Source organism: Homo sapiens, chromosome 18 (assembly GCF_000001405.40).
Source record: "Homo sapiens chromosome 18, GRCh38.p14 Primary Assembly".
Lineage (NCBI taxonomy): Eukaryota > Metazoa > Chordata > Mammalia > Primates > Hominidae > Homo > Homo sapiens.
Window position 1 is genome coordinate 69,850,644 of NC_000018.10, and position 27,294 is coordinate 69,877,937.

Genomic DNA, 27,294 nt, shown 5'->3' on the forward strand with positions numbered 1-27,294 from the left:
GAGTGGAGGACAAACAATATCTCCTGATCTTTCTTCTTGCCTCCTTTTAATTCCATTTGATATGCATCAATGACAGTATGGAGCTGTGGCAGCAAATATGTACATGGCTTTCTGTAGGAGACATGAAAATGGATAGAAGGAAGGAAGGAAGACAAGAGAGACCATCCTCACTAGCTCCCTAAATTCCTTTCTCAAAGCTATGTCTGAACTTCTCTTTCCTTCTTCCTCCTCCTCCTTCTCCTCTTTCTCTTCCCCGCCCCGGCCACCCCACCCAACAAATAGGCTGCATTTTAATCACAAAAAAATTATTAGACACACAGTCTAACCTAACTCCAAAATTGTCTCTTGTTATTTGAATTGTATAAATGTTTTAAAGCCTCTTTTTTAAAAAAAGAAAAAATTTATTAGATGCCATAATCTAACAGAACTCCAAATGTATCTGTTGCTACTTGAGCTCTATACATTTTTAAAACCTCATTTTAAAAAAATCCTCTATTTCTTCCTCTCTTGACACAAACTTGCATATAAGACAAACATACACTCATTGTCTTTTTTTTTTTTTTTTTTTTTTTTTGAGATGCAGTCTCCCAGGCTAGAGTGCAGGGGCACGATCTTGGCTTACTGCAACTTCCATCTCCCAGGTTCAAGCGATTCTCCTGCCTCTGCCTCCCAAGTAGCTAGGACTACAGGCGAGTGCCACCACAACCAGCTAATATTTTTGTATTTTTAGAAGAGACGGGGTTTCACCATGTTAGCCAGGCTGGTCTTGAACTCCTGGCCTCAAGTGATCCACCCGCCTCAGCCTCCCAAAGTGCTGGGATTACAGGCACGAGCCACCACTCCTGGCCTCATTGTTACTTTCTATTCATGTGTGAATTACAGAGATCCATTCTAAATATTCAATACTCCCTGAATATTTGCAAACTTTGGTTATGAGAAAGCCAAAGGGGGAAAATATTATTCAGAAATTCAATTTTAAAAGCATGAGCTGAATGTTCTAATTACTGGGAATTCAAAAATGGGTAAGATTTGGTCCCTTCTGTAAGATTTGGCTCACCATCCGGAGAGGAAGCGTATTCCTCAAGCCATGAGGCAGGTATACTTAGTCTAATCTTGCTTAATGACTGTCCTTTGAGTACCATTTGACTTAAGAAATTCCTTTCTTGTTCCAATATCTATTAAAAGTTACAGATAACCTGCTGTTTTTAGGTAACCTGCTGTTTTTGAGGCTTACGGTTTTTAACAAATCCAAGTACACTTCAAAGAGCCAAATACAGAGCTAGAAATTCATGCTACCCCCAAAAAAATAAAGACCACTACTCAGCAATAACCCATTTTACTTACTGTAACTAGTCACTTTACTCTCATCAGAACAATCTAAAGAAAAATGTTACAAGAAATAGATTTAAAATGTTCTACTCAGCTCTCCTCTCCTCCCTCCCTTCCTCTCCCTCCTCATATCTGACCCTTTTTCTCAATAGTGAAAAGGGATGGCATTCTAAATTCTTTTTTATTTTATTTTATTTTTTTGAGACGGAGTCTCGCTCTGTCGCCCAGGCTGGAGTGCAGTGGCGGGATCTCGGCTCACTGCAAGCTCCGCCTCCCGGGTTCACGCCATTCTCCTGCCTCAGCCTCCCAAGTAGCTGGGACTACAGGCGCCCACCACTATGCCCAGCTAATTTTTTGTATTTTTAGTAGAGACGGGGTTTCACCGTTTTAGCCGGGATGGTCTCGATCTCCTGACCTCGTGATCCGCCCGCCTCGGCCTCCCAAAGTGCTGGGATTACAGGCGTGAGCCACCGCGCCCGGCCTGGCATTCTAAATTCTAAAATGCATGGATCATCAAGAGATCTGACTAGGAAATGTAACTAAAATGGAATTGTTATAAGTTTAGAATTTGTAAGTGGGATGAGTAGGCATTTAATGGGAGATAATGTCCATTGCATTTTTAAGATTATGCACAACTTAGACTGATTTGGGGTGACAATTGGTATCTCAGGTAAAACCAACATTACATATAGTACAAAATGTTCTCTAAATTCATGAACAAAACATAACTCCATCCTTCATGTGACATTTGTAGTGTCCAACTCTTTAATGGAGATGTTAAACACATAGGTATCTAAGAGACACTATACGCCAAGAGATGTTACATGATGGTGTTTTACCTTGTAAATGATAACATGTTGATGGTATGTTTAACCATGTGTTTAACTTAAGCTTATGGGTGGGGTTTGGGACATTATTTTTAATATATAAGAACACTGTGATCTCTCATGTAGTTCAGATCATTACCGTTGACTATTTAGTAAAAGAGATCGCATTTGACTTTTTTTGTTTCTATCTAGACACAATATTCTTCCTGAAGCTAAAATGCCATGTGATTCTTACTGGTCAGTTATTATTTAAGCTTTTTCTTAACCTGGAAAAGATAGTAACATGTTTTGGGCAGTATTGGGTTCGTTTGTTCATTTGTTTATCTATACTGACAGAAAATATTCAACACTACTTCCACTAAACTGTAGAGAGAAAAGGGGTTCAGCTTTAAGAAATTATTAAATGATCTGTTTATAAAAGCTTTGCACTATTTACATATGACCATATGGAGTGAACAAACTATGAGGCAAGTCTGTAGACGTAGGTCTTTATTTCACATTAAAATGACTCTCACACATTCTTAAAAAACATTCCACAAACAAACGTTGCATAAAAGGCCTCAGGACGTATAGACCTTCTGCCCTCTGTTGTGTTCATCTTCCTTCCTATTGTGTTTTTTTCTCAGAAGCCTAATATCTAAATATATAGACATAGAACCCTTGACAATGCTTTACTTCTGTGGCTCCTCTTACCCATGGAGTCTTCTAATTCTCATTTACCTTTTGTGCAACTAAACCTTAAAATGAATTAATATTGAACACATATGATGAGTGAAACACCACCATGTGACTCATATTTCATTTTAACAGAATTTCCCCCAAAAAATGCTTGTGAAATCTGGTGCTTTAGACTGAGCTCTGTGATGAGTGAGCATCCCCAGCAGTTCATCTTTAGTTTATTTCCAATCGCATAGACTTGACATGTTATCTCCTTGTGGCTTGTGCTACAAATTTTCCTTATTACCTTTTGCCTCTGGACTTGAATATTTGTATAAGGCCTGATGTTGATCCAAGCACAGACAGTGAAACTCAGTATGATCTACTCATCTTCAGTTTGATGTCTATACTTCATTTCATATTTATTTAAAAAATAAATATGTGCTTCATTTTGGATCATGATTTATAAAGATGAGCCAAAGAGCAGCCTAGACGAGAGCAAGTCATATGGAATGGAGTCCAGCAACAGGAACCCTAGTGCAGTATCAGAAAGTCAGGGCAAAGAGACAGGTCAGAAACCACGATAACAAAAAACATATGTGTTAAAATGTTTATACATGGAGATCGACTTCTGCCTTTAGTGTCATCATGTTAAGGCATGGAAGATGTTGCTGCCATGCTTATAACAAGACAAAGCTGGAAAGTTGGAAAGCTGAAAATCAATGACTTTTCTTATTAGACCTATTAGAGAACCAAGGTCCTGAGCAAACTGCCACCCCAAAATCTGGAGATACAGATACATCCAGAGAGATACGCAACCAATAGCCATTTATCTGGAGTCAAAGCACTGGAGCCATAAACTAGTATGAGCCTTTATATGGTAAGTTGGGTGAATTGCTGGCATCTGTTTGTGGACTGGTGTGAGCAAGAAACCCATGGGGGCTGTGCTCTTGAGGCACTCCACACATTCAAGGGCTTTTCCAGTAGGAAACTCCAAGGTTCTCATTATGAGGATCCAAGAAAAATTTCCTCGTGGCTCTGGCAACAGATAGAGAGGGACATCCATTGAGAAATAAGCCATGAACCTTCTTGGTAACAAAGATGGAAAGGACTCTGCCAAGCACAATTCCCAAACCTCATCCCAGCCCCTGAAGTCTCCCTGTCCCACTTAAGGAAAGAGGGAAAATAACAGTCAACAGGGGGCAGGCCTTCAAAGAAATACATTGGGAATGCTGCAGCCAGGAAAGAGAGTTGAGGATGAGGAAGCAATACCACTGGAGAAGCTCTGTGAATGTCCCAGACACAGACCCACTAAAAGACTGAGATTTCACTGTAAGATTACAGAGCACTCTCCTTTCCCACAGCTTAGTACTACACCAACAGGGCTCCAGTATAGTAACAGTGAATTGCAGAGGAAAGAGCTGAAAGACAGAAAGTCTCTCTGAAGAGGAGCACTTAGGGAAGCCTGAACTCAAGAAGGGGAAAAACACATGAACAAACAAAACAAAGACACTAGAGGAATTTGAAGAAATTTAGCACCTATGGTTATAACAGACTTTAAACACAGTCTAATAGTTAGTCAGATTAAGATAAGTCTGCAAGCTAAAGACTTATTTACCTGTTCCTATTACATAACACACCAGATCTGGCTTGCAACAAAAAATTCAAAAAAAATGTCAAAGAACGTCAAAAGGCAAGAAAAGTCATGGTCTGAAGAGATAAAGCAATCATTGGAACCAGATAGAGACATGACACGTGTCAGAATTATCAGACATGGAACTTATCATTAATATGTTAAGAGCTCTCATGAAAAAAATAGACAACAGATGGATAATGTAAGAAGAAAGATGGAAACACTAAGAAGGAATAAAAAAGAAATGGTAGCAATAAAAAACATAGTAATAGAAAGGAAGGATATCTTTGATGCAATTATCAGTTGACTTGGAACCCCGAAGGAAGAATGAATGACTTTGAAGCTAGGCCAATAGAAACTTTTCAAACTAAAATTCAAAGAGTGGGAAAAACCCAGAATATTCAAGACTATGGAATAATTGAAGAAGAAGAAAGAATGGAGCAAAAGAATGTTAGAAGTAATAACGTCTGGGAACTTGCCAAAATTAGTGATAGACACCAACTCAGGTAGCTCAGATAACACTAAATAGAATAAATACCAAAAAAAAGAGGGGAAAAGGAGAAAAACCTAGGTTGATCAATGAAAGATATGCCACGAGAGAAAATTAAATCATGTAAAAACCCCAGTTAAAATCAGAGAACACAGAAAAAGGAGGATAAAAAAGAAAGAACGAGTGCAAGGATAGAAAAGTTACAAACATAGTAGATATTAATCCAACTATATCAATAATCACTTAAATTTGAATAATCTAAATGTACCAATTAGAAGTGGTGGGTTTAAACACACAAAAAAGATGAATGTTAGAGGTGACAGATATCACGATTACCCAATATGATCATTACATATTGTATACAGGTATCAAAACATCACATGTACCCCCCAAATATATACAACTCCTATATATCTACAACATTTTTAAGTAAGAAAAGTGGGGAAATTACAAATAGACGCAACTATACATTGTCTATAAGAAAGGCACATTAAATATAAATATTTAGATAATTTAAAATTAAAAGGATAAAGATGTGAGATGCTAATGTTAATTTTTTAAAAAACTGAAAGTTATGTTAATATCAGAAAAAGCAGACAGAACAAGAAAGATTATCAAGAATAAAAGGGACATTACATGTGGTAAAGGGGTCAATTCTCCAAGAAAACCTAACGATTCTGAAAGTATATGTACTAACAAGAGTATCAAGATACATGAGACAAAAACTAACAAAACTGCAAGGAGAAATAGAAAAATCCACTATTTTACTTGCAGTCTTTAACGAGACTTGATCACTTGATCTGTCAGTATGTGATAGATCAAGAAGAGGGAAAATCAGAAAGGATATAGATAATCTGAACGGTGGTATCAATCAGTTTAATCTAATGGACATTTGTAGAATATTACACTCAACAGCAGAATGAACATTCTTCTTAAGATCACATGAAACATTCTACAAGATAGACCATATTCTGGGCCATAAAATACACCTGAAAAATTTAAAAGAATAGAAATTATACAAAGAATGTTTTTAAAACATGATGAAATTAAGTTAGAAATCTGTAAGAGATATAAAGTAGAAAAATCCCAAAATATATAGAGATTAAACAACACATTGTAAATAATTCATGGCTCAAAGAAGAAATATCAAAAGAAATTTTAAAATATTTTGGACTAAATGAAAATAAAAATAGAGCTTACCAAAACTTGTGGAACAAAGTGAAATTTATAGCATTAAGTGCCACTATTGGAAAAGAAAACAACATATAAAATCAATAATCTAGGCTTCCACCTTAAGAAACTAAGGAGGCCGGGCGCGGTGGCTCACTCCTGTAATCCCAGCACGTTGGGAGGCCGAGGCGGGCGGATCACGAGGTCAGGAGATCGAGACCACCCTGGCTAACACGGTGAAACCCCGTCTCTACTAAAAATACAAAAAAATTAGCTGGGCATGGTGGTGGGCGCCTGAAGTCCCAGCTACTCGGGAGGCTGAGGCAGGAGAATGGCGTGAACCTGGAAGACGCAGCTTGCGGTGAGCCGAGGTCGCACCACTGCACTCCAGCCTGGGCGACAGAGCGAGACTCCGTCTCAAAAAAAGATAGCTATTCATTAGACATTGAAAGAATTATAAAATAGACATACAAAATTACAGAAAGGTTAGAAGAGTAATCTCTATCTCTAGAAGCTACTGAGCCATTACATTTCTTTGTACATTTTTTATGTGAGCTAAAATCAAAATTTGCTTCTGAGGACCATTATACGATAAAAATAAAGTGTGGGATAAATCAGCTCAACTGAAGCCACATCCAAAGCTGTTACTCAGAAAACTTAGTATCACTGAGAGTATATTGGAGAGCTCAAAGTCTTACTCAGGCAGCTGATCAAAGAATAATGGTCTTAGTCACTGTAAGTACTTTTGGATACCTGGCATAAAGGATGTAATGAATACATGATTGAATAAGGATATATCTTAAGAATGCATTTTCATAAAAACATAAAATCAGTTGAGATTATGTAAATTTTGAAGAATGAAGAAAGTAAGTTATCATAGCTTCTTCTCAAGTTTTATTTTTATGTCTTACAAATATGGCTGGGCAATACAACACAAGGCTTCCTTTTCAGGAATTTGGAGAACTTATGCTTGGTATTTTAAACTCATGAGAACTTAGTCTAGAAAGGGCCTCCACTTATTTGACCACAGGTAGAAGATTGGCTCTGCTTTCTTCCTGTAATAATATTGGTTTCTATAGGTCAAATGATACACAGTATAATTTTGTGGCATTTTGATTACAAGTTTTCCATTTAAAAATGGACAAAAATCAACTTCTTACTTGAAATTTTGGAGGTAGTATGTTACCAAAAAAAATGGTAGTTCTTGTAAAGGTATACCTGTGTCTAGACATAAGTTGCAGGTTTAAAAATCAATAGATTTGAATAAAGTTAAAGTCTAGAAAAATATGCAATGTATACATGCGGATGATTAGTAAACCCTAATATCCAAATGCAATGTCAATAGTGTTACTAAAAATGAACTATCGGCCATTATTGCAAAACTGCCAACTGAGAATATTGATATAGATACTAACTGTATTTATTTGTTTTTTCAGCAATTTATTTTAAAACAATCTTGGATATATTTAGTTACATCTGGAATAAACTCAGGTATTACACAGGGCCTTGAAACATTTATAAAAGGGTATATTAAACCCTGCCTTTAAGAAAACTATCATCTGGTCGAGGAGGGACATTTGTCAGTTGAAGTTCTTCAACGAGCCTGGAGGGAATGTCGCAGTGTGTTCTGTTTGGAAAGTAAGTTGTACCCTGACTGCCACTATGGAAGCTGAAGGGGGAGATACAAGCTGCTGCCTTCCAGATATATTTAAGAGACACTGATTTTGGAATAAGTCAGTGAATAAAAATAGGGGCTCAGGACTCATCCGAACGTGGGGTACTGATGCTGCTCAGATTCACTGCCCTGTGTTCTAGGGAGGGTATCGAAGCCCAAATTGTTGCTTTCTGCAGGAAACGAGTGTTTCCTGCCTCGTTTCCCACTGGAGTTGCCACATGTTGTGTTTTGCAAGCCTACTCCATCGGGTGTCCTGGGAATTCTATGAGCCACCCCTATGTTCAAATACTTAACTTTTTTTTTTTTTTTTTTTTTTTTTTTTTGAGACGGAGTCTCGCTCTGTTGCCCAGGGTGGAGTGCAGTGGTGCGATCTTGGCTCACTGCAACCTCTGCCTCCCGGGTTCAAGCGATTCTTCTGCCTCAGCCTCCCAAGTAGCTGGGACTACAGGTGCGTGCCACCAGGCCTGGCTAATTTTTCTATTTTTACTAAGACAGGGTTTCACCATATTGGCCAAGTTGGTCTCAAACTCCTGACCTCGTATTTTTTTTTTTCTTCAACAGTCAGTATCTGTTTTCGTGCTTACAACCAATACCCCCAACTTTTACAGACACAAAAGCAAACATAATAGACTTATTATTCCTTGTTATGGGCACTCGTTAAACATTTACAACACGGAAACACATGTCCTTTTGTTCTGGAAAATGTTTTAGAGTGGATTCTAGGTTTCATGTATTCCTCCCCCTTTTTCTGGATGAAGGGAGACACCAGGATGGCAGTTGTGTGCCTCTCCTTCTAGCCCCAAGTCAAGCTTCTAATGGAGTCTTTCTAAGGAAGTTGACGTTGGTAGAATTCCTGCTGCATCACAGGGGAGTTTCAGGTCAATTTATGGTAAATACAGAAAAAGTCAGTCCCCAGAATGACAATTATTAGCTCTAGGTGGAAAAAAAGTTATGTAGGAGGGAAAGCAAAATCATTTTTACCATGTAGTTTAACTAAGAGTACTGGCAAGGTCATAAGAAATAAATGCCAAATATTGATATAATCATATTTTAATACAAATATTTCTGAAAGAGACATGAGAAGAGTATTTTATGTGGTGAGTTTGGGGAGAGAAAGACATCTAAATGAATAATGAATGTCTAAAATTGAAAAAAAAAGTATTAGTGTCATAAGCATGCTATTCAGAAAAGTGAACATAAATAAAATAATGAGTTAGAAGTAGTAAAATTTGTTGTCTCAAGGTAACAAAAATGAGGAAGGGCAAGGGACTACTATGTTTCGGGAAAAACAAAAACAAACAAACAAAAAACCTGTAAAGCCCTTTGACCCTTTGCACTACATGCACTTATAAAATACAAAGAACAAGGCCAGGAGTGGTCGCTCATGCCTGTAATCCCAGCAATTTAGGAGGCTGAGGCAGGTGGATCACCTGAGGTCCAGAGTTCAAGACAAGTCTGACCAACGTGGAGAAACCCCGTCTCCACTAAAAATACAAAATTAGCCAGGCATGTTGGCATATGCCTGTAATCCCAGCTATTCAGGAGGCTGAGGCAGGAGAATCACTTGAATCCGGGAGGCAGAGGTTGTGGTGAGCCGAGATTGTGCCATTGCACTCCAGCCCGGGCAACAAAAGTGAAACTCCGTCTCAAAAAAATAATAATAAAATAAAATACAAAGAACATTGCATTGAGATAAAAATTACAATGTATCATTGATTTGAATTTTTTCTGCATGTAATTCATCAGTTAATTTTATTCTGTAGAAATTTTTCCCTGCTATTTCTCCATGGCAAATGAAAGTAGTGATCGTGAAACATTGTGTTTTATTCATTCAAAACAACAGAATACAAGACAAAGGAAAATATTTCTATACCCTACAAGAACCAAAAATCCAAAAGTACACACTAACACTAGAAAAAGTGTTCTGAACAGGTTGACCATATAACTTATTCTAACAAGGATAATACGAAATAAACCAGAATTATCCCAGACATTTATTACTCATACTTCCAAATGGACCTTTTCTTACATCTTACAAGATAGTTAGTGCTCTGAATCTGGAAAAATATGTGTAAACCGACCTTGAGGATTTATAAAATTTCCTTAGAAAGCATTGCAGTTAATTCTAGAAGCTATTTTTCTACCTATTGAATCACTAGAAATAGAGAAGCTTTTAAAAAAATTAACTTGTTTTTAGTTTTCAGATACATGTTTTAAGAGCCCAGAGTCTTGGCTGGAAGAACTCTAATGAACAGATCAGTGAAAAAATATACTTATACAGAAGTCTGAAGGTGGAGATCAGTACTTTCTAGATGTTACATTTTAATAGTAGCTAAACTAATGATGACATGTTTATATTGTCTTATATTTTTTAAAGATATTTTCTTATCACTGTTGTGAAAAAGAAACTTTGTACTCACAATTTAGCGTCTCCACTTACACTTTATAAGCATCTTTATAATATCGTCAATCTTGCTGAAATTTCATATAAGCAGTACAAAATACAGTACATCATTATAAATCAAGGAGAAGCATTTTGGTCACAGTGATCTCTAATTACAATGTGGACTCTCTCAATTTAGAAAACTACTGTTATACAGCTGTAATTTTTACTTAATGCCATTCTATACAAACCAATATAACTTGGATGTTCACAATCCACGAATGCCTACTAAAAGTATTTTTACTTACTTTGTCTTTTAAATTGATAACCCATGTATTTTAAGTTTATATATATAGTATTTTAGTAATACACTGAATTACTTAAAACATAAATTGGAGTTTTTACTAAAAATTATATCTTCACCTACCTGCCTCCCATTTTAAGCATGATTACAAGTAAATGAAATTTCTATTTTATTTTCTCAACATATTATACCTAAAGTTCTTTAAATAAAGTTTGAAGGTATCTCTTATAATAATATAGTCAATGCATAGTCATCATAGTTCAATAAGATGTGTTCTTTCCCTGACAAAACTGTGTACTCCATTAACAAGTCTTCCTATCTTATTATAACAAAGTAATTTCCTTTCATTGGTTACTTTAACATAAATATTAATGGCATTCAAAGGAAGCATAGATTCTTAATGTATTATCCATCGATATAAATTATATGTGTATATATATATGTATATATATATATATATATGTAAAACTTAAGAAGCATTTTGCTTCCAAAGCAGCAACTTGTAAAAAGTATCTGTATTTAAAATAGAATTTACTGGAATTCTGATCGTTTATTCTGTGGATCTGTTTTTCATCTGCTTTCTTAGTAACAATCAGAATCATAGGTGCAAAAGAGTAGAGGGGGAGAAACATACACTAGGGAGAGTCCCAAAACTATCACGAATTAAGAATGATGTTAAAAAGATGACAATGAAAGTGCTTTGGTAAGTAAAGATGTCCAGAGAAAGAAAATGAATGAATGGAATTTCACAAGCATTACCCCTGAGGGTATAACAGGAGCATCAGAAGACGTCAGAGAATTTTTGGGAGGACTTCAGATGGCTCCAAATTCCTGAAAAAACCCTACACTCTGTAGAGGAAGAATATATAGAGAAGAAAGGACAGAGTAAATAGTTCTCATCAATATTTTGAATGAGAGACCAAAAACACAAACACACACAAGGAAAAAGAGACAAGTTCCAAATGTTCTGGAGGCTTTGCAATACTGCAGTGGTTTGCTACAAAAGTCTTTCATGAAGTTCCCAGTAAAAACCACCATGACAATGGTATCTGACTATACTGTCCCTTCCACACCCAGTCATAATTTTCTCTCTTAAAATTGGATTTATATTTCCCCATACTACAACTGTAAAAATGTTTTCCTGCTCACATACACTAATCATTGAGAATTTGGTTATTGGAGTTTTCCAGAAAGTAATATTTTGATTGTCTTTACCATTCAGAAAAGAAATTATTTACCTTTTAATTGATGCTAAGCTTGCTTCACCATGCAAACCAATAAATTCACTCACAGAATCTTTGATTGATCTGATAGTAGAGTGCTTTCTTGTAAACTGCCTTTCAAGTTTGTTACACTAATATATTTGTGGAAACATTTCATGAATCCAGGTATAAAAAGATCTTTAAGCAAACATAATAAAAATGAGAGTTTACCCTTCTTGCATATACTTAAGCACAACCAGGAAATGGTCGTTTTTATTTTTTCACTCCTGAAAAGGGTTAAAAGAAACTCACAAATTTTATAATTCACAGAAATGTGGGCACTTACCATTTCTGTAATTCACAAAACAAGTGCATTATTTGGCATACATGGTGTTTAAGGCTAAAATCATAAAATACTCACTAATTAGCTTAAAAGTGTAAATTACATCTTAGAATCTGTCTAGGCAACAGGAGAATTTGGATTTGCTTTATTTAAGATTATCATGAAGTCCACAACTTTGATATTTAAATACAGCCTTCATAATGAATCTTTTCTAGATGGTGGTCTTTAGAAATCTTTAGAGATAAATAATGAATCTTTTAGACATGAATGATCACTATATTTAACAATAACCATTGTCCTTTCAAGGTAACCATGACAGTTTTATTCAGTTTGGCAAATACTTTTCATTGTTAGCCTACATCTAGAATTTAAACAATATTAGGTATGGTCTCTAATTGCTTTGACTGTTGGTGATGTCATTAGGGCTGTCTTTGTCTGAATAGTGAAGCAGAAGTTTCCCTTTGTATTTTTCTGTGGTTTGATTCCTTTCTCCTGTTGCCTGTACCCTCCCAATTTCTTTTTTCCCTCCCAAATTTCTACCCTACCGTCCTATGCCACCACTTTCAACTGTCACTTTTAGTGGTATATTATATTCAACTTTCACATAATCATTAAAAAATAATAACTAGGTGCCTGACCCTTTTGAGAGAATTTACATATTAAAAATAATTCTCAAAAGTAGACAAAATATGTCCAAAACATTAAGTTATTTATTATTCGACTATCTACTACATTTGCTCCTAAGGCTAGACCTGGGATGGCGGCAAGAATTCTATACAGAATGAGAGATAAATAAATATGAGAATAGTAAAGGATTGCCCTCTCGCATTTATCTTCCTCTTGAATATTCATTTCTTCTACTGCCAGGTATTCTTCTGGACTATGCTGATAGAGTGGATTCTAGAAGTATGGACAGAGATACCCCATTTCTAGAATCCATCCCATATTTCACTTTTTAGTTAACAAAAATGTCTTGGTTAATCACTGCAGTCAATATTTGTTGGTAAACTCTCCAGCTTTGAGACTCCCCTTTCCTCTTCTAACCATGCTCTGAATTGCCCAGTATTGTGCTTTGACCCTGCTTCTCAGCTCTAGAAGTGAACCCTTAGTTTACTTAAGCCATTCCATCCTTTCTGGTCATGTTGCCTATTTAACAATGAAAAAATAATCAAATTTGTTTGCTCCATTTGAGAAGCAAACTCTCTACCAGACAGAAACAAGGATGTATGAATTGCCAAGAGTTGGCAGCCATCTTGCCAACACAAGAGGAAAGCCTGCATGAGAGTGAGGCCAAGACCAGGGAAATGGATCCAACACTCTGGAAAGGGATTCAGAAGCCAGTTTATGCCCATACTTAATTCTAGACACAACATTTAAGCCCTGGTAAATAGCCCTTGCCCAAAGCTTAATCTCCCCTGGATCATTCTGTTATATGATACAGTAAGTTTTCTTTTGTATATAAACCAGTTAGAGTCAGGTTTTCTGAAACAGTTCTATGAAAAATGATTTTAGGTAATGAAGTATTTTTCCTATCAAAGTAACTCAATTCAGACAACTAGTATCTAAGGTAGACCTTGGGTAGTGGAAAAAAATTGCATAAAGATCCATGCATGAGTACATAAGAGTCATTACTAATGCACTCATGTCAAGAATAAGCTTAAACTCTAGTCTTTGGTCTGCGAGAGAAGGTTGGATAGTTGACATAAATATCCTCTCTTGTATCATCCATGGATTGATTGGTAGGTTGACTGGTAGAGATGGGACTTCTATAGTTATTGGGTGCCTAGAAAGACAAACAGCAGAGAGTGTCAATAATTCACTGCATTTCAACAACTAATGAAGACATTCAAAACATACCTCTCATAAATGCAGGCATGATATGGGACAAGTTTCCATTATAATTAATTTGATAAAACATTCTCATTGTATTGAACTTCTGTTGGAAATCATATTCTTGACTGAGATGCAACAGAAATCTAGTCTAGATTAATACTTGCTGTATTGTGCTATGAATTACCTGTTTCAATGTAGAACTCCCTCTCCCAATGTTAAGCTATTTTGATAAGAACAATTACTATCATTTTTATATGGAAATTCTAACACAGTGTCTGAACTTTAAAAAATAAGCAACTTAACATATAAAAAGTTAACAAAACTGACATCAAGATGATATTGTATAATCATTAATCTTCTCTACCGTAATCAAGTCACTTTGACCACATATGTATGTATGTAACAGAAAATATGCAGGTGTGAAAAAAGAAAGACAAATTAAGAGACAAAAGAAACTAGAGAAAGGTCTTTTGATGAGTAATTTAAAAATTTAGATTGACCTTAGTGTTGTTGGTTTTTTTGAGTCAGAGTCTCGCTCTGTTGCCCAAGCTGGAGTGCAGTGGCGCAATCTAGGCTCACTGCAACCCCCACCTCCCAGGTTCAAGCAATTCTGCCTCAGCCTCACGAGTAGCTGGGATTACAGGCAAGCACCATCACGCCCAGCTAATTTTTGTATTTTTAGTAGAGATGGAGTTTCGCCATGTTGGCCAGGCTGGTCTCAAACTCCTGACCTCAGACGATCCGCCCACCTCAGCCTCCCAAAGTGTTGGGATTACAAGCGTGAGCCACCATGACCAGCCAGATGTTAGTGTTTTTAAGAAGAAAGCAAAATGAAAATTCAAGTGCCATGATTACTTATAGAGGTTATCTTTTAAAAAAGAGAATGAAGTAGTTCTAATGTCTTTTTTTGACAGTCCAACCTATTAACTCTTTAATAATCCTTCAAAATATTATTCTACAAAAACCTGAAAAAGTTGGATACCTAATATAGACCGTTGCAAAGCTCCCTTTCATTCCCCAAATTCACAACAATAAATGTGACTAGACTGGCATGAGTAGACAAAGGCTAAGGATGAAGAAGGGAATCCCAAAATTGTGTATGACAGAGCACCAATTTATTTCTTGCTGAAGTGGCTGATGAAATAAAGCAAGGTTTCTTGATTCTACAGTTGGCATCAAGAAGCAATCCATGTTTTTTGCCAACAAACAAAAAAAATATTTTTTGCAAAAGTAACTACTTAATAAATAAAAAGTTAAACTGATAAATTATGAAGGCATCTGATGAACACATGTTGGATTGTCAGAACCTTTTTAGTACTTGGCTTGTGGCCATGTAGAATTCCACTGCGAATAGTTAAAATGAAAAGAAATTTATATACTTTTGGCTAGGAATTGGGGAATTTTTTGTCTTAGTTTGGGCTGCTGTAACAAAATACTGTAGACTGGGTTGCTTAAACCACAAACACTTATTCCTCACAGTTCTGGAGGCTGGGAAGTCCAAGATTAAGAAAATATTTTCCTAACTTGAGAAAAAAAAAAGAGTCCAGTGAGGGCCTGCGGGCCTGTTTCTTGGTTTGCAGACAACTGTCTTCTCAGTATCCTCACATTGCAAAGAGCAGAAAGAGGAAGCAAGCTCTTCTGTCCTTAAAAAGGCACTGATCCCATTCACGAAGACGCCACCCTCATGATCTAATTACATCCCAAAGTCTCCACCTCCTAATATCATCGCATTAGGCATTAGGATTTCAACATATGAATGTTGGGAAGACATAAATGTTCAATCCATAGCAACTTTTTTTGTGAAATTTCATAAACAGGATGCTATGCATTAAAGGAAGAGATTTGAAGTATAGTGGGGATAACGAGCATGAAAATACATATCCCTCTTATCTGCAAACCCAGAAGGAAGTTTCTAGTCTTTTAGTTAAACACTAAGGGGCAGCAGCAAGGCAGAATAAGGAAGAAACTTTTACAGCTCATCAAACTCCTGCAGCCCATAAGGAAATAAAAAAGTTCTTTGGTTGTATAAGTATACACTAATAACTTACCTCCAAAGATAATAATAATAATGAATATCATTACGTTCTTCTATGTGCTTGCTACGCTTCTGGTTCTTTTATGCAATTTAACCATCACAATAACCTTATGACATAAAAATATTATGTCCTCTCCTGGGTTGGATACTGTCCCCTGCAAATTCATGTCCTCCTCAGAACCTCATAATGTGACCTCATTTGAAAATAGGATCCTTGTAATTAGCTAAGCTCAAACAACGCTGTGCTGGAGAGGGGTGGGCCTTTAAGTCCAAGATAACTGGGGTCTCCATAAGAAAAGAAGGAAGGCAGACACACACACACAGCTGAGAACAGTGATGAGAGGGGCAGAGATTGGAGCGATGTGTCTACCAGCCAAGGATCGACAGCTCCACTAGAAGCTGGATAGAAGCATGGGATGGATTCTCATCCCACGAAGAAACCAGTACTTCTGACACTGTTTCTTGTACTTCAACCCTCCAGAATTATGGAAGAATAGATTTCTGTTGTTTTAAGCCACCCCGTTTTGGTAATTTGTCACAGCAGCCCTAGAAAAGGAACAAAGATTTAGGGAAGGCATAGTGTTGATTGTTATTACGCCAGGGTAATTGCTCCTTTATTTATATTCATATAAAAAACTTAGTTTCAAAGGGTATTAAAAATAGAATAGTTCAGAAAATAACTTTCTCCAAATAGCTGATATTTAAATTACAGGCAACTGCATGGTCAGGTTACTGAAAGGACAATAAAATATAAGATTGCTAACTGCAAAAGAGACTGACTTTGCATCTGTAAATTACAAAAGAAAAAAATGACAGTTCCGTATAAACTTACCTTCTGTGTATCCCAGGACTCTGTAAATAGATCTCTTCTCTCTCTCCTTCTCCTTCTGGAATGCATATTCAATAAAGGATATAAAGATATGATATTCCAGTACTAATATTATTTCGAAGACTCTATACCTCACTGTACCCCTAGCCCACATGCACCTTCTAATATGTTGAAGTAGCTTTATGCACATTTATCCAAAATTCTGTTACCCTACAGTTTTTTTCATTTTCCCTGTCTTCTCCAAATTGCTCCCAGATGGTGAGGGCAACTAAATGGATATCTAACCACTGTGCATTAGTAATTAATCTCAGTGATTTTACTAAAGAATGATTTATAGTGACTTATTACATAAATGACTTATAGCTTTCTCCAAATAACCTCACATTTAAGACATTTTCCACAATTAAAATTTATTTTAAATGCCAGCAGTGTAACTTCTTGGATGACAATATAATGAAGCTTTATAAAATCTTTTGGGTGTTATTCTAAATCACTCGTATGGATTATTTTATTAAATCACTTATGTAGATTATTTTATTAAGATTTCATATAAACAGGTTTAGAAACTAAGGTGTGAAGAGGAAGAGTAACTTGTCCCAAATCACATGATCGGTTGGTGTAGTGCTGGAATTTAAATCCATCGCCCTCCCTCTTGACTATTAAGCTCTCCAACTTCTGGAATCACTTCGCCGTGACTGAAAGGACCATCTGCAACCACAGTATTCAATAAACGCTCCACAGTTCCAATGAAACCCATAAAAACCTAACCAGGGGAATCATAGAAGAGAAAATACCAGAGAAGAAGAAAAGAGGCTACTGTAACTGAATGCAAGAGCTGATATAACTGTATCCAACTATATAAAATAGTTATTATAGGGAGATGGTGACTCTTTTTATCTCCCTAAGGAAAAGATTCTTATTGAACAACAGACTCCTCTGTTAGATACAGAAGATACAGAAATGTAATGTTTTGGGAGTTCTCTTTAAGGTGAGGTTGTAATTCCTTTGTGAATATCTTGAAAATAAGATGGTCTTTCTCCAGGGAAAGGTTATGCAGGAAATGGATATTGACTCCAATTGTCTCTTCTAGTTGCTTTGAAATCCTCCTATCATGTCAATATAATCTTACCTTATTCTATGTGCATTTATTTTCTTATTTATTATTATTTTGACCAATTATTCATTTATTTGTTTATTCTATGTGTAAATTTACTATACACAAGGCATATGGCTAGGTGTTTTATATAAATTAGATCATTTACTCCTCAAAATAAATCTATGATATAGATGCTATTATTATCCTCATTTTAAAGATAAGGAAAAGATCTATGATCTTTGACCTTTTATTAAATTGTGGTTCACAAGGCTTGCTATCTCACAACGTGCAGTTAACGTTCCCAACCAGGCCCAAATGCACGCACATGCACATGCGCACACGTGCGCGTGCACGCACACACACACACACACACACAGACACACACATACACATTTAAATAAGCCTGGAGCATACAATGTGATGAAACAAAAGAGAACATGGAACTTAGAGTCAAATGATCTATGTTTAACTTGCACTCTGCAATTTACTAGCTGAGTTATTTATGTCTTTAAAGTTCAGTCCTCTCATCTGTATTATTAAAAAGTCAAAAAATATTAGATGCTGGCAAGGTTGTGGAGGAAAAAGAACACTTTTACGCTGTTGGTGGGAATGTAAATTAGTTCAGGCATTGTGGAAGACAGTGTGGTGATTCCTCAAAAACTTACAGACAGAAATACCATTTGACCCAGCAGCGCCATTACTGGGTATATGCCCAAAGGAATATAAATCATTCTACTATAAGACACATGCAAGCATGTGTTCATTGCAGCACTATTCATGATAGCAAAGACATGGAATCAACCTCAATACCCGTCAATGATAGACTGGATAAAGAAAATGTGGTACACATATACCATAGAACACTATACAGCCACAGAAAGAAATGAGATCATGTCCTTTGCAGGGACACGGATAGAGCTGGAGGCCATTATCCTTAGCAAACTCATGCAGGAACAGAAAACCAAATACCACATGTTCTCACCTATAAGTGGGAGCTAAATGATGAGAACACATGGACACATAGACGGGAACAACACACACTGGAGCCTACTGGAGGGCAGAGGGTGGGAGAAGGGAGAGGATCAGGAAAAATAACTATTGGGTATAAGGCTTAATACCTGGGTGATGCAATATGCTATACAACAAACCCCATGACACATGTTTGCCTATGTAACAAACCTGCACATCCTGCACATGTATCCCTGAACTTAAAATAAATGTTAAGAAAATAAAAATGAAAATAAAAAAATAAAGAGAGTAAACATATCACAATTGGATTTACGTTGACCAGCCATTCTGGTTTGCCTGGGACTAAGGAGTTTCCCAGGATGAGAGATTTTCTTTTTTTTCTTTTTTTTTTTTTTTTTTTGAGATGGAGTCTCGCTCTGTCACCCAGGCTGGGATGCAATGCTGCAATCTCAGCTCACTGCAACCTCCGCCTCCCGGGTTCAAGTGATTCTCCTGCCTCAGCCTCCTGAGTAGCTGGGATTACAGGCGCCCGCCACCATGCCTGGCTAATTTTTTTTTTATTTTTAGTAGAGATGGGGTTTCACCATGTTGGTCAGGCTGGTCTTGAACTCCTGACCTCATGATCTGCCCACCTCGGCCTCCCAAAGTGCTGGGATTACAGGCGTGAGCCATCGCACCCAGCCAAGAGATTTTCAATGCCAAAACCCAGAGAGCCCCGAAAACCAAGGTTCCCTATCCATTAATGCCAGTGTTCACAAGGAATGTAAAAATATATATCTAACATTTTTCTCCCTAAATATTAAATTTCTTCCTACACTCAGGTGCACATCTATAGAACACAGTTTGGCTCCCCCTTTTTTTTTTTTTTTTTTTTGAGACAGAGTCTTACTCTGTTACCCAGGCTGGAGTACAGTGGTGCAATCTTGGCTCACTGCAACCTCCATCTCCCGGGTTCAAGTGATTCTCCTGTCTCAGCCTCCTGAGTAGCTGAGACTACAGGCACCCACCACCACGCCCAGCCAATTTTTGCAGTTTTAGTAGAGATGGGGTTTCACCATGTTGGCCAGGCTGGTCTCGAACTCCTGACCTCAAATGATCCACCCACCTCATCCTCCCAAAGTGCTGGGATTACAGGCGTGAGCCACCATGCCTGGCCATATTTTGGCTCCTTTCACACTTGCCAATGTGAGGCTGTTTCCCTAGCCATGGTCACTTAGTCGTGTTACTGTTGCTATCTCTGCATGAAAACAGCACAAACCAGGAGCAGAGAAGCTGCCGCCAATCCCTCCAACACACAGGCTACCAGGCACTGAGTGTGAAGTATTCAGTTTTGTTCAGGGACACTGTCTGATTTATGTTGGCTTCTATCCAAGTCAATACATCTGAAGCTGCAGGATTATTTTAAACAGTCAGTAAAACGGAGTTCAGAAGGTCATTGTTGGAGCCCTTGGGTCATCTTTCGAAGCATTTCTATTGGAAGTAACAACCACAAACTGATACTAGTGACGAGGCAGAAGGAACAAGTGCTTTTCCCTTGTGGTGTGCATCCATGATTACAAATTCAAGTCCACTAATCTCCTTTTATCACATTTAACCAAGTGGGACAATGTATTCTACCGTTCAATTTAGCTATTCATGTAAAAGTAATGCATAATGCATTTTCATGAAGCAAAATTTTTCATGAAGCAAAATCTATCATGTCCAACATCTGTGACCCTGTGGAGGTTTGTCACCACTCGCTGTCTCTTAGTCACATTTGCCCGGTTCCCATGTGCTCCCTCTGCCATCTCTGCCCCCAGGATGTTTCCCATTGCCAAGGTGAAAAAGTGGAAGAGTCCGTGGTGCTACTAACACCTCGGTTCCTTACTTCAATTTGCTAATTTCTGTTCAGGGAAAGACTTAAGGGCAGTCCGTGATGGGGAAAAAGGTGAAATGACCTGACCTCCTGTTTTAGTTTAATTAGACAAATGTTTATTGAGCATTCATTATTTGGACAGATTAGTGCTAAATGCTACCAAATGCTAAAAAATGAATGAAACACAAACTCTGCCATTATGAATAGAAGGGATGGCAAGCATGAAAGTGATTAAAATACAAAGCAGGATGTGAGGAGTAGCAGAGACGTACACAATGATTCCAGATGGTGACATCATGTCTATTTGCAGGGACAGAGAACAGTACAGAGCTCACAGAGGGGACAGGTGTTTCACACCTTGAATGATACATAGGAATGCAGCCAAATGTGGGGAAACAGCACTTTGGTAGCAAACCAGATGGGGAGAGCAATGGGTGTGCTTCAGTTTCCACAAAATTTATCAACATCCGGGAGATTAAATAAAGTAGAAAGTATGAATAAAAATTAGGCTTCAGTCAGGGTTAATGACAGGGTTAATGAGTTTTAACATTATTCTGGTAGGAGTGGGAAGATAACCAAAGATATTGAACAGGAAGATGACATGCCAACCCAGCCTTCAGAAGAAGACCCAGGGAAACTGGATGGGTTAGAGAAAGAGGCTACAGCTGAGAGCAGGCTGGAGACGTTACCAAAACCAGGGAGCAGTGATGACAGCTGCTAAAGAGCCAGAGGTCAAGGATGAAGAGACAAGATGGAGAGACACTGGAAATCCTATTAACAAGGGGTGTGTGTGTGTGTGTGTGTGTGTGTGTGTGTGGTGCATTTGGTAACATTACTGAAGGAGAGGAGTGCAGATGGACATATTCACCTACCCAGCAAACATATATTAAGTATCTATGATATGCCAGACATGAAAAATATAGACATCAAAAGTGTGGTCCCTTCCTCCCCTAAGAAGATAACACTTTAGCTGTAATACATTATAAGGAATAATTTCAACCTGCTATGATTACAGCAGATATGTAACAAATACCTACACAAGTGAGCTGATAAGCACAGGAGAACTAGAAGGGGAAGAAAAACTCAGCCAAGAATATCCTAGAAAATTCCCAACTGTGCTACAATACAGTAAAAGGTTTTTTTAATTTTTAATTTTTGTTATTGACAGGGTCTTGCTATGTTGCCCAGGCTGGACTCGAACTCTTGGACTCAAGCAATCCTCCAGCCTCAGCCTCCTGAGTAGCTGGAACTTCAGGCACATATCACTGTGACCAGCCAATAAAAGATTAAAAAAAATTTAGTATAGGCCAAATGGCTCCCTGCTGTCTCTAAGGCAGCACCCTCCAATTCCTTCTTCTCAGTAATTTTAAGCACCTAGATTTCTTGGTTCTGAGAATATACAACTATTTGAAATTATGCTGTTTGCTTATTGGGATGTGAGCTTCATTATGTCTTGTTCACTGCTGTGCACAATAAATATTTGATGAATGAATAAATGAAGGCTTTATCACTGTTAAACCTTGTTCTTCCCCTTCTCAGAATCTGTATCCATCTCGCGCTGTGTCATACACGCACACACACCACCCCCTCGCTGTCAGCTTTTTCCTTGGAGGAGGAAGACAGGGCAGGATAAAGAGCAGAGGCATCAGGCAGAATATAAAAGGGGCAGACCACCAGCTTCTACCAATTCTTAAATGAACTATTCCAGCTCTCCCTGTAACATTACCACAGCTACTTCTCCTCCTTTGTGTTAGAACAGTACTCACAAAAATATATATGTGAATGCTGAGACAGCTTGACAAATTACTGGGTTATTAATAGAGAACCTCTAACATGGTGAATAAGATTCAGCATAAGTTGCACTACTCACCTGTTAAGGAAAATGACAATGATGGTGGTAATTGAGATAACAAACAACAACAATAAAACTGTCCCTCCAGCCACAAAGAGGGTATATTGGTTATCGGTTTTACCTAGGAGAGAAAAAAAATATTGTAGGAATTAGGAATTCAGCCAAAGGCAGTAAAAAGTAAGGCAGGAAAATAAAGAAAAGATACATTAATTATTGAGTAACAAAAACAAAGAATCCAACAAAAAAAATAGAATGAGTTACAGGAAAAAGAGAATTTTTCTTTTAGAGTCTCCTAAATATTTCTAACTCCTAATAGATTTTTATTTGTTTTTTGATTAAGCTGAGTTTTACACATTACAAAAAAAAAAAATATAAAGAGCATGCGTTTGCCAAAGACCTCATTCAAATAAGCTGCCAATCATATACACAAAACCTTTTGTAGAAAAAAAAAAACTATTAAAATAGGAAATAGGCCAGGTGTAGTGGCTCAGGCCTGTAATCACAGAGGTTTAGGAGAGGGGATCACTTGAGGCCAGGAGTTCAAGACCAGCATGGGCAACATGGTGAAACCCCGTCTCTACTAAAAACACAAAAAGTGATCCCAGTGTGGTGGTGCATGCCTATAATCCCAGCTACTCATTAGGCTGAGGCACGAGACTCATTTGAACCCCAGAGGCGGAGCTTGCAGTGAGCCCGGATCTTGCCACTGCACTCCAGCCTGGGCAACAGAGAGAGACTCTATGTAAAAATAAATAAAATAGTAAATAAACAAAGATTATCTTTTATGCCTGATATATTAAGTACATTCAACATACAACAGAATATAACTCTGATGTTTATAAGTATAATTTAAGAAAAATAGATATTTTCTATTCAATTTGGTAATGATACAAAAAATCAGAAAAAAAAAATGTTACTCCAACTCAATGTCTGAAAGTTTACCATGGTCCAGTAATCTGAAATTCTCATCCTAAATCTTTCACAATTCAACTGACCGACTCCAGCAAATTCCTTACTGTGGATGTGTCTCTTCATTTGTCAACTGATGGCAATGGCAGCAGCCCTAATTACATCACAGAATTGTGATGAGACTCTCATGAGTCAATATTCACAAGAACAATCAACTGCGATTAGAGAAATGTCCCCTCTGGAGTGTGAGCCCAGTGAGGTCAGAGAACATTTTATCTTTTTGTTACATCCTCCTGCCCACAACACACCTCTCACCCTTCAACCCACAGAGCATGTTGTGAGTGCCTCCCACAGGGAAGAATCCCATCAACATCTGCTGCTGGGAATAGGACTGAAATGAAACCCAATGGTCTTCATTGCTGTCTCTCTTCGGGAAAGCGAACCTGTCAATCACCCCACCATTAGGATGATGCCAGGCTCTGAGAGGGCAGCACAATTTCCCTTCCTCCTGAAATCAAAGCTTGAATGTTTGTACTGTGACACCCCGGCTGTCTGGAATCCTATTGCAGCCTGAAAACCATGACTTTCAACCAATTCTTCCCCATCTTTTCCTCAGAAAATTTCTTCTCACTTTATCCACTATGTAGCTGCATTTTTTTCATAAGAACTCAAAGTATAGACCCACTTATTCTTTCACAAACTTTACTGCAAAGAGAAACTAAGACAAATAAGCAAACATTTTATTTTTAAACGTTTTAGACCTAGATTCCACAAATAAGTGAAGTCATACAAAATTTTTTCTTTTTGTGTCTGGCTTATTTCACTTTTCATAATGTCCTCAAGGTTTATCCACCCTGTCACACATGATATGATTTCCTTCTTTTTTAAAGGGTTAATAGTACTACATTGTGTCTATGTACCACATTTTCTTTATCTATTCATCTGTTGATGGACACCTAGGTTGCATCCACATCTTGACTACTGTAGACAATGATGCAATACATACACGGTGCAGGTATTTCTTCAAGATACTGACCTCATTTCCTTTGTATATAATACCCATCAGATTGCTGGTTCATATGATAGCTTTATTTATTTTATTTTAATTTTATTTTATTTTTGGGACAGAGTTTCACTCTTGTCACCCAGGCTGGAGTGCAGTGGCACAATCTCAGCTCGCTGCAAGCTCCACTTCCCAGGTTCAAGCAATTCTCCTGCCTCAGCCTCCAAGTAGCTGGGATTACAGGCACCTGCCACCACACCCAGCTAATTTTTGTATTTTTAGTAGAGATGGGGTTTCACCCTGTTGGCCAGGCTGGTCTCGAACTCCTGACCTCAGGTGATCCATCTGCCTTGGCCTCCCAAAGTGCTGGGATTACAGGCATGAGCCACCGCACCTGGCCTATTTTTAATTTCTTGAGGAACCTACTACCTGTACCAATAACGAGTGTACCCATTTACATTCCCGCCAACAGTGTACAAGGGTTGCCTTTTCTCCACATCCTCACCAACACTTGCTATCTCTTGCCTTTTTGATAACAGCCATTCTAATAGGTGTGAGGTGAGAGCTCACTGGGGTTTTGATTTGCATTTCCCTGATGACCAGTAATGTTGAGCAGCTTTCCATATACCTATTGGCCAGTGTTATGTCTTCTTTGGAAAGATGTCTGTTTTTGCCCACTTTTTAATTGGGTTGCTCTTTTGCTGTGAAATCCTGCCATTTGCGACAGCATGGATGAATTTGGAGGACATTATGTAAGTGAAATAAGCCAGACATAGAAAGACAAATACTGTATAATCTCACCTGTATGTGGAATCTAAAAAAGTCAAACTTATAGAAGCAGGGAATAGAACAGTGGTTGCCAGGAGGTGGGAGGGCAGAAGATAGGGAGACGCTGGCTAAAGGGTACCAACTTTTGGTTATAATGGGGACCTACTATACAGTATGGATGGTGATACATGAGTTAATTAATTGTGGTGATTACTACACCATGTTTATATACATCAAATAATCACACTGTATGCCCTGAATATATTCAATCTTTATTTGACAGTTAATTATTTAAAAAAAAATTTAAAGCAATTGTTTTCTTTGGGCTTTTTTATATTTTCCAAATTTTCTAGACGATGTGTTCATTTTGTGATCAGGCAAATACAGTACCAAAAAAATAAAGATCTGCAGGCTTAAAAAAGAATATTTTATCAAATCTTAGTGGTTAAAGTACAGGATGTAGAAATCTTTTCTTTAGAAATAGAATACTTAACAATTAAGATGGCTTTCTTTATGAAGGTCTAATTTATATGAATTTAACAGTATAACCTGCTTGAAAGTACGACCACTTGTGACACACTGTTCAATTATAAATCCAAATTTCAGATGCATTGTTTCATAGGAAATATGTTACCTATTTGTAACCCGTTTTTAGTAATGTTTGGCCTCTTGGATCAGATCCATTTATTCACTCAGTCTTTAAACACAAAGTATTTCAAGGTGTACTGTATGCCTGGTACTACAGACAAAGTGGTAGGTAAAAACAAGTTTGACACCTGTGTAGAAAAAAAACTCTCCAATTGTGTTTTTTCTCTGCTCTCACACTACCACAGCAATCGTCAACAGACTTCTGTGACCAAAGGTGTGGGTGGTTTTCCCCCACAGTAACAGGCACCAGCTGAGTGTCCGCCAATTCAATTCTGACATGATCTACCCAAGGACAGTATCAGATCCCACAGGCTGGGGGCTCAGTCCCAAAGACATCTCACCCCCTCCTCCATTGCTAACCCTGCCCTTCAGACACCAATTGCAAGTCCAGGCCTCTAGAACTTTTTTTTTTTTTTTTTTTTTTTTTTGAGACGGAGTCTCGCTCTGTCACCCAGGCTGGAGTACAATGGCAGGATCTCGGCTCGCTGCAATCTCCGCCTCCCAGGTTCAAGTGATTCTCCTGCCTCAGCCTCCTGAGTAGCTGGGATTACAGGCACCCGCCACTACGTCCAGCTAATTTTTGTATTTTTAGTAGAGACGGGGTTTCACCATGTTAGTCAGGCTGGTCTCGAACTCCTCACCTAAGGTGATCCGCCCTCCTCGGCCTCCCAAAGTGCTGGGATTGCAGGCGTGAGCCACCGTGCCCAGTCCCAGGCCTCTAGAACTTCGGACCAATGGGCCTCAAGCTGGGGTTCCCAAGACCCCTTTTTCAGGTTTGGTTAATCTGGTGGAGCCAGTTATAGAGCTCAAGAAAACACATTTGTCAGTTTAATATCAAGGATATTGCAAGGGATACAGATGAAGAGATTGGTAGGGTGAGGCATGTGTAAAGGGGCACAGAGTTCCCATGCCCTCCCTGTCCACATCACCCTCCAGGAGGCTCCACATGTTCAGCTGTCCAGAAACTCTCCAAACCCCATCCTCTTGGATTTTTATGGAGGCTTCATTACGTAGGTATGACTGACAACCTTGTAGAAATGGGACTGGGCAAAAAGCATATCATCTAAACCCAGCAAGTCCTGTCCAGACTTTAGATATGGGGTGGGATCCTCTCTGGAATGAGGGTCTTTTGACCCACATTCAGATTAGAGTCTTACCTTGGTCAGGAGAAAGGACAGGAGAAGGTCAGAGAGAACTTCTGTTTCCTGAGGCCTGAAGTGCCCCAACATTATAACAAGGACCATGTGAATTTTGAGCCAGGACCCGTGGATGAAAACCTATAGATCTGCATATCCTAATACCACAATACCTGATTTAGTGGAACATATATTGTTTTGAAAAGTCCTAGACAATTTAAAAATAGTTAGGGAAAAAGGATTTTTTCTTAAGAAATAAAGGTGAAATAAAGCATGGAGTCAGGTAGAGATTCAATCCAGAGACATTTCAATCTAGAGTGGCCCAGCCTGTAGCTGACATGGCTTCTC

General features: G+C 37.9%; 1 protein-coding gene across 9 annotated transcripts in view, besides 1 other annotated feature; it reads right to left on the reverse strand.

Moving 5' to 3' along the window:
• Nucleotides 1-2,630: 2,630 nt before the first annotated feature.
• The window catches only part of CD226 (CD226 molecule), a 108,500-nt gene continuing 83,836 nt past the window's right edge, over nt 2,631-27,294 (reverse strand). For 8 of the 9 annotated variants that reach the window (XM_006722374.4, NM_001303619.2, NM_006566.4 and 5 more), the window contains 3 exons: nt 22,501-22,603; nt 16,714-16,768; nt 2,631-13,796 (listed from right to left, as the gene is read on the reverse strand). In XM_006722374.4, coding sequence (XP_006722437.1) covers nt 13,671-13,796; nt 16,714-16,768; nt 22,501-22,603 — 284 coding nt within the window. In that variant the 3' untranslated portion in view covers nt 2,631-13,670. Of the gene's footprint in view, nt 13,797-16,713; nt 16,769-17,103; nt 17,474-22,500; nt 22,604-27,294 lie in introns of those variants that run through there. The other variant, XM_047437276.1, reaches the window with a different exon arrangement.
• Nucleotides 14,183-14,252: an enhancer, noted in NCBI's record as "active region_13475". NCBI's record gives its function as "activates an Ori minimal core promoter by ATAC-STARR-seq in GM12878 lymphoblastoid cells {active_cell/tissue: GM12878}" and the evidence as "EXISTENCE:reporter gene assay evidence [ECO:0000049][PMID:35858748]".